At 37.8% G+C, this 14,654-nt stretch overlaps 2 long non-coding RNA genes across 4 annotated transcripts in view, besides 1 other annotated feature; one reads left to right on the top strand and one right to left on the bottom strand.

Annotated features, from left to right (window-relative positions):
- Positions 1-14,654, bottom strand: part of LOC107986324 (uncharacterized) — a 487,144-nt gene that overhangs the window by 427,137 nt on the left and 45,353 nt on the right. The gene's annotated exons all lie outside the window — the stretch shown is intronic.
- On the top strand, positions 174-14,068 carry LOC105379457 (uncharacterized). 2 transcript variants are annotated; one of them, XR_001741913.1, is made up of 3 exons: positions 174-310; positions 8,091-8,198; positions 13,904-14,068. It is a non-coding gene; the product is annotated as an uncharacterized LOC105379457 (long non-coding RNA). The 2 variants fall into 2 exon arrangements; XR_007058485.1 differs by having other exon boundaries at positions 8,047-8,198.
- Positions 4,880-5,787: an enhancer, noted in NCBI's record as "OCT4-NANOG-H3K27ac hESC enhancer chr4:160515695-160516602 (GRCh37/hg19 assembly coordinates)". NCBI's record gives its function as "activates a minimal SCP1, AML or CMV promoter by ChIP-STARR-seq in naive H9 embryonic stem cells {active_cell/tissue: H9 hESC(naive)}" and the evidence as "EXISTENCE:reporter gene assay evidence [ECO:0000049][PMID:30033119]".

The following is a 14,654-nucleotide window of genomic DNA, read 5'->3' as shown; positions in this document are numbered from 1 at the left end:
GAGAACAGGATTAGTGCTCTCATAAAGCAGAAGCCAGAGAGCTTGCTTGCTTTCCTTCCACGCTGTAAGGACACAATGAGAAGCTGGCAGTCTTCAACCTGAACCAACCATGCTGGCACCCTGATCTTTAACTTCTAGCTTCCAGAACTGTGAGAAATACATTTCTGTTGTTTATAAGCCATCTAGTCTATGGTAATTTGTTACAGCAACTCAAAGTGACTAAGATGCTCAAGAAGAAATAAAGGATACACAAGAAACTGATAACATTAGTTAACTGCACTGAGAAGAATTATGCAGCTGAGGGGCAGAGGTAAGAAGGGAAATCTGTAATAAATAGCCTTTGTACTTTTGAATTTTGAACCATATAATTTACTGCCTATACAGAATGTAAATAGTTTTAGTAATTAAAAAGGAAGCAACAGATAAAGGTGTTGGCTAAAATAAGACAGATTTTCTATGAATTTCACTTACTAAAGCTTCCTTTAACTTCTAGCACAATGGAACAGAGATCATCCAAATTATTTTTTGAATAAAAATATTAGGAATGCCCATCTGAGAACAACTGTTAGAGTTGCTCATGGCAATTGTCCTTCCTATAGAATTCTAAATATTTTCTCAGGTCTTACCGCACTCCATGCCTCTGATCTTCTCAAAGAATAAAACATGGTTGGATAATTTCTCTAGAAAATATAGGTAAGGATTTGCAACCCTTGCCCACAGTCTATATGGAATTAGTGCAGGCCTGCTCAATATCAAGCCACAGACCTTCTGAGGATATAATTATTGCACTTCTCAAATAGGGAGACCTTGCCTAACATATGGTCTGACATTAGGTCAGAATATTTTAAATGGGGCTTCTTAGGAAATTGGGCACATATGAGAATTTTTTAATCTCAGGTTAGAGGTTTGATATGAAATTAAATATTCAGTTTTTTTCTATTCTGTTTATGTTTGATTTCATGAGATTTCTTTAAAAATACAGAAGCTCCTTTGTTATTGGCTGGAGAAGAATGTTCAGTCCTAACAGAAAGAAAAAGCAATAGACTCTTCCCCAAGGTTAAGCCATGGGGAAAATGGGATGGGCAGAAAGAGGCAGCAAAAGTGAGTGAAGCAGATGAATGATTATTTTCATACTGAGTATGGTCCAGAGATGAAAGCTGTCTGGGAGGGTGGGAAATAAAATGTAACCCTAATGATTACTAAAAAATTATCACTAAAATTGCTTGACTATTTTGAAACATAAAGTTATCTTCAGTCCAACAGGACTGCAAGGTATATGTTATCATAATTGGAAATTGGTAATTTTTAAATACCACCTGCAATAACAATGCAAGACAAGCTGGGAGTGCGTTCTGCAAAACAGAACACATGTAGCCTGCACAAGAGAGGTGATGCTGATAAAAATTTTAAAAAGTAAGCCAGAGAGATAATTCTCCACATTTACATTTTTGTGGTCACAAAAAGTTCTCTGGCACAAAATCCTTTTCCTCATAAACTCAAGCTGGGCACAATATGTTCCTTCTCCATTCTTTTTTTTTTTTTTGCTCCCAGCACACAGTTTGACATTGGTTTGATGTCATTAGCATCACCTTCAACAAATCATTTTCTTCACTTGTCCAATTACAGACAACATAAAAATGCCTGTCCTCTATGTTTCTTATTTCAACACTGGAACTTGACATGACTCTACTCTAAATCACAGAAACCGCTTGTCAGTTTCTATGACTTAAAGTTAATTTTCACTCGGCTTACTCTTCTTTTTATTTCACATTTCTTATGGGTAATGGCCATAGTGAAAATGATGGTATAGGAGCTTTTCTCCCTCAGACCCCTACCTTTTCCACCATGGATTTATAGCACACTTTTGCTCAGAGAAATTTTTGTATAGCTCCCCTCCACTCAACAATAAAAGAATATCATAAACCTGTATAGATATCCTCTCACACTCTTTAGGGCCAAGTTCTTCCCTTATACCAAAATGTGGAACTGCTACAGCAATCAATGATGAAAACAGGGCAGTTGATGTCCCGAGAAGGAACTCACAAGCTTACTACTCATTTCATTCTACTGCTCCCAAAATAGGCTGACATGCGCATACAATAGTCAACTACCACCAAGACTGTAATCACGGTAAATACACAATGACATGAGTAGATTCAGGGAAGTGAAAGAACATTCATTCTTTTCATGTGAAGAAAAAGATTTTATCAAAGAGGGGACAGGCTAAGTAACTTCAATTTCACTAAATTTAAGTTGTGTGTTTTAATCCATATTCTCCGCATAAAAGCAGCAGCAAAGGAAATAGTGGGTAACTACTCCAAGCAGAAAATAAACTAATAAAACTTTTTGTGTGTTTTGTTTCAATGCATGTTATTTTGGCCTCCCTTGGCGGGGGGGCGGGGTGGGGATCACACGTTTTTTATTTGCACCTTCCTTTTTCCTTTTTTTTGGGGGGGGCCCTTTTTAAGGTTTCTAAATGCCTGACTTGTAGTACACACTTGTAGATTTCCATGGAAACCAGGATTCACCTTGAAATATAAGATAATATTCTAACCAGTGTACTGAAACACCTCCAGGGCTGGTGGGTAGCCCTGCTCAAGCCATTACTGTCAGGCTTTTATAAGTGAATTTCAGAGCTCCCTTGGATTCGTTGAAAATGTGAGTGTCTTGAAGATGAAATATCCTTCATCGCCAGTGTGTCCTGCTGGTATATACTTTATCTTTGATCCTGTGTGTTTCAATGTTACTTTCTTCAAAGCCAAAAAAAAAAGTTTCATCTCACCTTAGACTCCAGGAATTTATTCCCAGTTCAATTTATGCTAACCCAAAACCTAAACTCCAGCCATTTTTTTAAATCCAGAAGTTTTTTAATTCATCAGAGGTAATAACGGTTCAATCCCCAAGACTGTCTCAACTATAAATGGCTTTCCTATTAATTATAACAGTCTCATGAAAAATCATTGATTTAAACAATTTATTTTCAATGCTAATTTCTAACTTAGGAATGTCGGCATGTATTGATTTAGAAGAAAATATAAAAGGACATTTTACTGAGGGCTGAGGAAAATATGCTCCTTATATTGCTTTGATGCTATTTCATCCCACATTACGCTGCAGTGTTTGACTATAGTTTCCTGTCTTAAAGGATCCTGTGCTGTTCAGTTTGGTAGCTAACAGCTCTATGCATCTATTGAGCAATAGAAATATGGCTAGTCAGAATTTAAATGTGCTGTAGATGTAAAATACACATCAGATTTTAAAGACTTAGTACGCAAAAGAATGGAAAATATCTCATCAGTTTTTAAATAATTCTTATGGCGAAATAAAACTTTGGATATATGAGGTTAAATGTATTATTAAAATTAATGTCACCTGTTTCCTTTTCACTTTTTAAATATGGCTAAAAGAAAATTTAAAATTGCACATTTGGCTTGCGTTATACTTCTCCTGGACAGCACTGATATGGAATTTGTAAAAGCACCATGGAAAGGTTAGGAATACCACTATATCCAAGCCTAGCGCATGTTCTAAATACGCCTAGTCCCTGGCATAACATAAATACCCCTAGTCCCTGGTGCTCAATAAATATTCATTAAATAAAGCAACAATAAAAGTGAATAAACAATTTCTTAGCTATCAAGTAGATTTTTGCCAAAGAAATCAAAGTGTTTCATGAATATGAAGAAATGAGTGAGTTACATGCTTGAGGCTTAAAGGAAGGCAAGTATTAGGAGAGTTAAATCTGAAAAGCAAAGAAATTGTACTTAAAGACTAAGTAAGGGTTGAAGAAATGCCAAAAGCAAAGAAAGAAGAGCTATTTATAAGATAACATTTATGTGATCAAGAATAAGTATATATATTGTTTCTAAGGAAGGTAACAATATAATTAAAGATCAACAATTTATATTAAATTTGGGGGCATTTATTTTTATGGTAATTTGTGCAAAGTCATGATTTAAATAAGGTAAATCAAAATCTGACTAATTAATAAGATTTCTGAAAGGTATATTAAGAAAAAATGGTTTTATAAGGTGCCATGATGGCAATTAGTGTCATCATAACAAAGCTGGGCAAAGCTTTGCCTTTGTTTGTAACTCTAGACTCAAATACCCATCGATTTTACCAGATATTGGAGATAAGTTAAAAGTGAATTATTTTTCATGGGGGAAAATTCCAAATGCTGGAAAGCAAATTAGGTAATTTGGAAATTTTTCAGAAAGTCTAATAAGAAAGAAATTTCTCAGATCAGTTTTTATATCTAGAAAGGAGCAATGGCGTTATTAGCTAACATCAATATAGTGCTTAAGATATGCCAGGCGCTGTTCTAAGTGATTTACCTAAACTGGTATAATCATCAACTAGTCTTCACAAGAAGTCCATGATATAAGGACTATGGTTATCCCTATTTTACAGATAAGAAAAGTGAAACAAGAGATTGACCAACTAGCCCATGATCACACAGCTACTGAGGGGCACAGCCTGAATTCAAACCCAGGCAGTCTTGCATCTCATCACACTGCTGTACATTTATGAGAACCTGCTGTGTGATAGCTGATTTATATATATTACTCAATCTTTATACACTCTATGAGAAGGTACAATTATTACCATTTTGGTAAGTTAGGTGATCAGGATTCAGAGAGGTTAAGTCACTTATCCAAAGTAATTTCTTTGTATTAAGAGTCAAAATTTGAATACAGATCCATCTGATTCCAAAATTCCTTCCACTATATATTACATCATTCTAAATAAATAGGGCCTGCAAGTGACTCTGAAGACATTTTTTGTCTCTAAACACATTCCTATTGCCCAGTTTGGTGAAGGTAGTTTACTCAGATGATCTGTACCACAAATCTGCAGCACTTTCTTTTGTGAAACTAGAACAATATCCAATCTACTGAAAATTAGTTATTGTCACACACGTCCGTGTGAAGAGACCAAAAAACAGGCTTTGTGTGAGCAACAAGGCTGTTTATTTCACCTGGGTGCAGGCAGGCGGAGTCAGAAAAGAGTCAGCAAAGGGAGATAGGGGTGGGGCCATTTTTTTTATAGGATTTGGGTGGGTAGTGGAAAATTACAGTCAAAGGGTGTTGTTCTCTTGCGGGCAGGGGCAGGGGTCACAAGGTGCTCAGTGGGGGAGCTTCTGAGCCAGGAGAAGGAATTTCACAAGGTTAATCACTCAGTTAAGGTGGGGCAGGAACAAATCACAATGGTAGAATGTCATCAGTTAAGGCAGGAACAGGCCATTTTCACTTCTTTTGTGATTCTTCAGTTACTTCAGGCCATCTGGGTGTATACGTGCAGGTCACAGGGGATATGATGGCTTAGCTTGGGCTCAGAGGCCTGACAGTTATTTTCTCTTACATTTTTTACTCTTGTGAAATTGCACGCCGATGTGTATTTACTATTTTCATTTTTCAAATCTTACAGTGTCTGCTGAAATAATCATAAAACAATGTATAGGAAGCTATGAACAGTGCTGGAATAGGGTGTCAGCACCCTTCAGAGAGTCACCAAGCTACTGTCTGCCTCCTCCACAAAGGATTGCTGGATTTTGCAGACCCCATCTGTAAGCTGCAGAAAGCTCTTCTCCCCAACAAAGGAAACATGCTATGTTCCTTGCAGCCTGACCCACAAATACCTAAGTCCCAACATCAGTGAACAGTTAAAATAGGGAGATGCATGGTCACCTCATTAGCACAAATAAAATTGCCAATAAACAGAAGAAATATTTAACAAAAAAAAGCAAATCCAAGAAGCATATTTTTGCTTCTGAAAAGAAGTCAATATGGCAATAAAATATAGAGAAGACTTCATTGTTGCTAATAAAACTAATATGTCCACAGAGTAATTATCTAATGATGATAAACATTTTCTTTTCTTTAAGAAATCAAAGGAGGAGAAAAGGAAGGAAATCTAGTGCTAACTGTGCTGAAGAATTAAAATGCAGGAAAGTTAGAAATGGAAAGTTATGCTTCCCCTAGTAACTATAACTTGGCATATTCTATACAAGGACATAAATATAACAGTAAATATAGGACATAAAATACTATCATGTGTGAAAGGAACAAATAATGATAGCTGGGAGGATCATAATTTTGACTTTCCTGATTTTTATGAGTTTAAATTCTCAGCCACAATGTCACATTATACATGCAAGTTTTTAAACCAATCTTGACTTAATTTTTGCCCCTCTATGCAATTGTCCAGGTTTTCTTGACACTTTATAGGTTAAAGCAGTAACCTTTGAACATCGACCTTCCAAATTTGATTCTGATTCAAATCTTGACCTTTAAAGTGAAAAAAAGAGAGAGGCATGAGTATTTTTCCCTGGACCTCATTAAACGTGGGAAAGACAGTAAAAGCAAAGTTTTCAGCTGTGCATGATTGTTAAACAGTTGGGGAATGCCAAATAAAACAAGTCACACGTTGGTCCAGAAAAAAAGCTAAAGCAATCATTTCAACCTGCACACTGCTGTTTTTTATTTAATGCTGAGGGGTGTTTACAATGCTGTGGTTGCCTGAGAAAGGTTAATCCAGAGGAGTAAAAGAATAGCAGCGTATGAGACTGTTTCACCCCAGCTATTTGCAGTGAATATTTTAGTAACCATCATGAATCCATGTCAGCAGTGCAACCATCAAATGAAACAGGAAAGAAAGCAAATATTACCCTAAAGAATGAATTTTGATTTTCAATAGAGGCAGAGGCATTTTCACTGCCCTCTGCTGTAGTGATGATGCGGTGGAAAACAGTTTTCATGAGTCAAGTGCTCTTTCTGAGCTCCTGTATTCTCAACTCACCATCCTATTTTTGAACTTGAGAGGCAGGGAGGAGTAAAAACTTCCACTGATTTTCCCTCCAGCTTTTATTTAGTTTTTCTTTTTTCCCCCATGAGCTTCAGACTATAGTAGCAATTCTCTCCTTGGAGAGTATTACCTTGCCTCTGCATCAAGCTATGTCAAAAACTATTCAGTATTCTAAGCAGTTCCACTAGGGCACATGTTCCTGTCTTATTTCCTTCCCTGGAAAGTATCCGTATTGATCTCTCTAAAACCTTGGGGCTAAATGAAAATAGCAGGAGAGGCATTCTGTTGGGGGAAAAAAAATGCAGATTTGTACCTTCCCCTCCATTTTTTCCTTGCTTTCCAGAATATCAGTGCAGACAGAGCAATATCGGAAACTCTGTTAGTTTCTTTCTTCCTTCTTCCCCAAGGCTATGTTAATAGCAACCTTTTGTGTTCCTGCATTTAGAAATTCAGGACCAAAGATCAATCAGAGTCACTGTTACAAATTTTCCTTGGAAAGAACCACTACCCAACCCATAAATAAAATGTGAATTTCTCCTAATGTTATTCAATGCACTAATTTCTGTGAATTACTTGCAATGCTAATTTATTTGAGTCCAGTTTTTTGTGCCTAGTTAACATTGTTCATGATTTTGAACTCACTCTTTAACTGCATATTTTTAGAAAAGATAAGGAAAATACCATCAGGAATGTTCAATATAACATATTATCCCTGATGGTAACATGCATTGCAAGCAAATGTATTTTTGGATCCTGTGATTTTTATATTAATGGGGTTTAGAAAACTACCCCACAACATGATCCATTGGCATTTGAGAAATATCAGAAGCAGGAAGCTCTCTCTAACCTTCTCTCATCCTTTTTCCCTGAAGCAGATCATAATACCTAGGAAGGATTTTACGACCTTTTCCTGAAGCCAGTCATGAGACCCTCATGTGGGAAGTGCCCACCCTATACACAGAGGAAAGGAACATCCTTCTCTCTGAAGATACAGAGACACAGAGAACAATCTGAACCTTGCTAAGTTTCCCCTGGTTTACTACTGTTAGATTATACCCCTTTCCAAACATTTTTCTCCTAAACTGTCTACTCTTCATCAAACCTAGCATAAAAATACATATAGTCAACTATTTCTTTGGGTCTTTGCTTCCCTGTGAAGGCTATTATGTTACATACAACATGTTAAATAAATCGGTATGGTTTCTCCTGTTAATCTGTCAGTTTTTCTTTCAAACCCAGCCAGGAACCCTAAGACAGTGAAGGAAAATCTCTTCCTCCCCTAGAGCTTCTGGTACCCAATGAAGGGCCACATCAGCTGGGGACACCTTGCTCAGTCCAGAAGCTGCTGTTCAAAGATCCTGGACTTCCCATCTGACAAAAGCCAGCAGAAGGTAAAAATTCTTACATCAGTGTTGAGTCTCTGCCTTCAGGGCCTGGTGGAGCAAAAGTGGTAAGAATCTTTTTCTTTCCAAATCCAGATTAGCAGTAAACAACACTTTTAAAAGTTAGTTCTTTTATATTGTGACTCTAGTTAAAAATTTGGTTAAGTTGGGTTACCCATTAGTTATTGATCCTTTCCCTCCCAAGGACAGCTATTGCTTTCCAGTTGTCTCATCTTGTGTCTCGATTGCTTGGCTTGACTTTCCACTTGTTGGGGCACGTAGGTTATGGGGTCTGCATATACAGGTGCCCAAATGAAAGGTTGTAGGGACCCAAATACATAGCAAGATAAAAATATGAGTTCACAATTCTAATATACCAACTGTTGCCAGCTCTCCAGGCGCAAGTTACCTGTATTTCTTTTGGCTCTTAGGAGTGGTTTTGGATCTTGAGAGGGCTGCATCTTTTTGCACCCTCTTTTGAGGACACCTTTCGCATCCATGGCTAAGTCATAAAAGGTTGATTCATTCTGGTGTTGAGTCACTTGATAGATACCTTTGGTCTAAGAGAGAGAAAGAGAGGAGTTCCATGCTGCCAGGAATGTTTATTATTTTTTTCTGGCTGATACCTGATAACATTAGTTTTAACTGTCAGAAGTTGGTCAAATTGAAGGCTGACATTAAGAGCCTGAGGACCATTTTTAAGGCCTTCTAAGCTAAGATAGAACTATATATTCAGAGAGGAAAAAAAGTCTGAAGATTTTGTGGAAGAATTTATTAAAACAAAGACACACCGCTCTAAATCTAGAACATAAGACTCTTTTGATTTCTTAGTTGGTAATCTGCTCCCTGATATAAAGGAAGAAATGGAAGATAATGCAGAGGATAAATGAGTCAGCCCCTTAATATCATTTAGGCTATGACCCAGTGCTTGGAGGAATTAAGTCACTATCCTGACCTAATAAATTGAGTCTTTACAAAAACAGAAATGGAACTGCAGAGGCAATTTAAAGTCCACCAATCCTCTTTAACAATACCCAAACCTCACCTATTTATCTCAAGATGCTTGCAGATATTGTAAAAGGTCAGATCATGGAAAATGGACCTGTCCTACACTTAAGAAAAAGAGGGAAATTTTTCTAAAGAGTAATTATACTAGAGCTCTGATTATCGGAAAATATGACCCAAAACTCCCTCTTGGAAAAAATTCTTACTCCATGCCTTTGAAATGTAAATAATCTTCCCCTGGACTTGAGGCTGGGGGAAAGGAGTTATTTGGAAGCAAATTGGGCAGATGAAAAATCTTAAAAGTCTTTTCTACAAATAGTAAAGTTTTAGTCATCTAGGCAGGTAACTTTAACTTGTTCCATCAACCAGAAACACAATTTGGATCTAGCTATTCTTTTATAAACGAGTGAGTTCTGTATTATTGTACCTGACACATGACTAAAACTTTAAAATGAAAGCTACATGGCTTGTTCTGCATTTTTCTGCATGATTATGTATGTCCCTATGTATGTATGTTAAATATATGGGATGTTTCTCTTCCTCTGGATGGTATTACCAAATTAATTTATAAAATTTCTTGAAGTTATATTCAGACTGGCTAAAAGATAAATGAGTCAAAAAAATTAAAACTGATTCTTTGGATTTCTATTTTTTTATAAAGGCTCTTGTGTCATATAAAACTTAATTTAAATCACTGGACATGGTGGCTTGCACCTGTATTCCTAACTACTCAGAAGGCTGAGGTGGGAGGATCACTTGAGCCCTGTAGTTCAGGGCTGCCCTGAGCCGCAATTGTGCCACTGCACTCCACACTCCAGCTTGAGCCACAGAGCATACTCTTCTGCTATTAATCTGTCTGTCAATTTTCTGTTCAGATCCAGCCAAGAACCCTAAAAGAGTTGAGGAAAATCTTTTCATCCCCTACAGTATTCATGACTATTTTCAGAACATTTTATCATTAAAAATTTTGCAAATATTTCCACATAAACCAATGCCAGGGAAAAAACAAAGCCCCTAAACAAATTGGATAATTGACGTATTATCTGAATTATAAATAAAATCTTACATTTATGAAATGTTTTATATTATTTTCACATAACACTACTAATAACGCATTTATTGGGTGTTGATATGCACAAAGCCCTCTACTAAACACTATATGTACTACTTCACTTAATTCTTAAAACAACCTTTCTAGATAGGCTCTATTATTAACCTGATTTTAAGCATGAGAAAACCAAGGCTAAGAGTATTACAAATATATTAGGTATTAGAGATACATTTCAAACTCACATGCATGCAGTGAGCCACTGTAGTATAACATATTCATTATTTAAGTTGACCATTCCTACATTCTTACAAAACAACTAGAAAAGCAATTCTTCCTTCTTCTTGACAGACGTCCAAACTATAGAAAGAGAAGAAATTACTTATAAAAGGTCATTAAGCTTGTATCATAACCTCTCCCTTAGCCACAGTTTCACTTTAAGTGGTTTCAGTTACCTATAGCCAACCTCTTTCCAAAACTATTAAATGGAAACTTCCAGAAATAAACAGTTCGTAAGTTTTAAACCATATGCTGTTTTTGTTTTTGTTTGGTTGGTTTTTTGTTTTTCATTTTTTTTAGACGGAGTCTCGCTCTGTCACCCAGGGTGTAGTGCAGTGGCGTGATCTTGGCTCACTGCAACCTCTGCCTCCTGAGATTAAGCAATTCTCCTACCTCAGTTTCCTGAGTAGCTGGGATTACAGGCATGCGCCACCACGCCTGGCTAATTTTGTATTTTTTAATAGAGATGGGGTTTCACCATGTTGGTCAGGCTGGTCTAGAACTCCTTGACCTCGTGATCTGCCTGCCTCGGCCTCCCAAAGTGCTGGAATTACAGGCATGAGCCACCAATGCCCGGCCCTGCCGTGTGCTGTTTTGAGTAGCATGATGAAATCTCACAACATCCACTCCAGCCTGCCTTTGCCCATCTTTGCTGTGCAAAGATTATTCCCTTTGTTTAGCATATCCATCTGTTATACATGACCTGCCTACTAATCAACAACATCCATCATCTACTCCTAATATCCAGCCATCAACATCATCATGGCTTGATGATCCAAGCATCACTCGAAGTAGATAATCCTCCTTCTGACATAGGAAGGTCAATAGTAGCTTTATGCTACATTGCAATGTCTGTATCATTCACCTCACTTCACCTCATAACACAGGCATTTTATCATCTCACATCATGACAAGAAGGGTATTTTCAGAGTGGGAAAATATCTCATAATTTTTATTACAGTATGTTGTTATAATTGTTCTATTTTATTATTATTGTTAATCTCTTACTGTGCATAATTTATAAATTAAGCTTTATCATAGGTATGTATGTATAGGAAAAAGCTTAGTGTACATAGGGTTTGCTACTATCTGCAGTTTCAGGCATCCACTGGGTGTCTTGGGACATACTCCCTGCAGATAAGGGAAAACTACATTATTGCTGACTTTTAACCATCCCATATATTTTATGCATAGTTTAAATGTCCTTGAATTATGACTATCAATTGATATATTGAGATACTCAACTTCATAGGTAACCAAAAAAGCCAAATTAAAATAGTTATCATTGCCTTTCAAATTAACAGTAATTTTTAAATAATAATATTCAATTGTTGAGGTAGTTTGGTGAAATTGGCAGACCCATATACTGCCAGCTGAAAGTAGAATGATACAAGCTTCCTTAGAAGGTTTTTGTAATATGCGATAAGAGCTTTATAATGTTAACTTTCTTAGACCAGTAAATCCATTTCTAGGAATCTCTCCTACTGAAATCATCTGAGATACAGACCAAGATTTATTGATAAAATTGTTCAAATCAACATGAGTTTGAAATAACAAAAGTCTGAAATATACTAAATACTCAACATCAGGAAAGTAGATACATTATAAAAGATACTAGGGAATATTATGCAGCCATTAAAAATAATATTTTTAAAGAAAGTTTAATCATATTTGTGATTCAAAACTGCATAAATAATTCCTGTAATACTTAAAATATGTTTATCTCTGTATATATATTATTGATATGGTTTGGATTTGTGTCCCCACTCAAATCTCATGTCAAATTGCAATCACCAGTGTTGGAGGAGGGGTGTGGTGGGAGGTAACTGGATCATGAGGACAGATTTCCCTCTTGCTCTTCTCACAATAGTGAGTTCTCATGAGATCTGGTTGTTTAAAAGTGTGTAACACCTCCCCCTTCACTCTCTTCCTCCTATTCTAGCCATGTAAGATGTGCCTGCTTCCCTTCCACTATGATTGAAAGTTCCCTGAGGCCTCCTCAGCCATGCTTCCTGATCAGCCTATGGAATCATGAGCCAATTAAACGTCTTTTCTTTATAAATTACCCAGCTTCAGGTATTTCTTTTTAGCAGTATGAGAGCAGACTAATACAAAAAATTGGTACCAGGAGTAGGGCATTGCTATAAAGATACCTGAAAATGTGGAAACAGCTTTGGAACTGGGTAATAGGCAAAGGTTGGAACAGTTTGGAGGGCTCAGAAGAAGAAAGGAAGATGAGGGAAAGTTTGGAACCTCCTAGGTACTTGTTAAATTGTTGTGACCAAATGCTGATATTGATACTGACAAAGTTCAGGCTGAGGAGGTTTCAGATGGAGATGAGGAACTTATTGGGAACTGGAACAAAGGTCACTTTTGTTATGAGTTCACAAAGAGGTTGGAGGCATTGTGCCCCTGCCCTAGGGATCTGTGGAACTTTGAACTTGGGAGTAATGATTTAGGGTATCTGGCAGAAGAAATTTCTAAGCAGCAAAGGATTCCAGACATAGCCTGGCTGCTTCTAGCAGCCTATTCTCATATTCGTGAATAAGAAATGATTGAAAACTGGAACTTATATTCAAAGGGGAAGCAGAGTGTAAAAGTTTGAAAAATTTGCATCCTGACCATGTGGTAGAAAAGGAAAAACCATTTTCAGGGGAGGAACTCAAGCTGGCTATAGACAATTGCATAAGTAAAGAGGAGACAAATATTAATAGCCAAGACAATGAGTAAAATGCCTCAAAGGCATTTCAGAGACCTCATGGCAGCCCCTCCCATCTCAGACCCAGAGGCCCAGGAGGAAAGAATGGTTTCATGGGCCAGGCCCAGGGCCTCATTTCCCTGCGCACCCTCAGGACACAGATCCTTGACTCCCAGCCACTCCAGCTCCAGCTGTGGCTGTAGCTAAAACGGCCCCAGATATATCTCAGGCAGTTGCTCTAGACAGTATAAGCCATAAGCCCTGGCAGCTTCCATTTGCTGTTAAGCCTGTGAGTATGCAGAGGGCAAGAGTTGAGGCTTGGGAGCCTCTGCCTAGATTTTAGAGGAGGTATGGTATGGAAATGTCTGGATGTCCAGACAGAAGTCTACTGAAGGAGTGGAGCCCTCATGGAGAACCTCTACTAGGGCAGTGCGGAGGGGAAATGCCTTGGGACCCCACCCCTTGTATCAGCGTGGCCTAGATGTGAGACATGAAGTCAAAGGAGATTATTTTGGAGCTTTAAGATGTAATGACTCTCCTGCTAGGATTCAGACTTGCACAGGGCCTGTAGTCCCTCTCTTTAGGATGATTTATCCCTTTTGGAATGGGTGTGTTTACCAAATGCCTGTACCGTCATTGTATCTTGGAAGTAACTAACTTGTTTTTTATTTTACTGGCTCACAGGGAGAACGGACTTGCCTTGTCTTAGATGAGACTTTGGAAAGTGGACTTCAGAGTTAATGCTGAAATGTGTCAAGACTTGGGCGACTGTTAAGGAGGGATGATTGTATTTTGCAATGTGAGAAGGACATGAGATTTGGGAGGTGCCAGAGGTGGAATGATATGGTTTAGATTTGTGTTCCCACCCAAATCTCATGTCAAATTGTAATCCTCAGTGTGGGAGGAGGAGCCTGGTAGGAGGTGATTGGATCATGAGATGCATTTCCCTCCTGCTGTTCCTGTGATAGTGAGTTCTCATGAGATTTGATTATTTAAGTGTGTAGCACCTCCCTCTGTGCTCCCTTCCTCCTGCTCTGGCTGGGCAAAATGTGCCTGCTTCCTTTCTACCATGATTGAAAGTTTCCTGAGGCCTCCTCAGCTATGCTTCATGTACGGCCTGTGGAACCATGAGCCAATTAAACATCTTTCTTTATAAATTACCCAGTTTCAAGCATTTACTTATAGCAGTGCAAGAATGGACTAATACAATAATAAATGTAAATATGCCCAGAAGAAAAATGAAAAGGTGTTAGCAATGTATCTCAATATGCTTACAGGCCAATATTTTTTTCATGTCTTAAAAAAGGTGAGTTTGTCCCTCCATACACAGGGTCTAACAATCTCCATCCTTTCGTCCTTCCTTTCTTCCAGGGGGAGGGAGGAGGAGTACACCTCTTTCATACAGCCTCAGCCCCTCTCCTTCTTGCCATCCTAC

This window comes from Homo sapiens, chromosome 4 (genome assembly GCF_000001405.40).
Source record: "Homo sapiens chromosome 4, GRCh38.p14 Primary Assembly".
In the NCBI taxonomy this organism is placed as follows: Eukaryota; Metazoa; Chordata; class Mammalia; order Primates; family Hominidae; genus Homo; species Homo sapiens.
The sequence above is the reverse complement of the archived record's forward strand: the minus strand, read 5'-3'. Positions and strand labels throughout refer to the sequence as shown.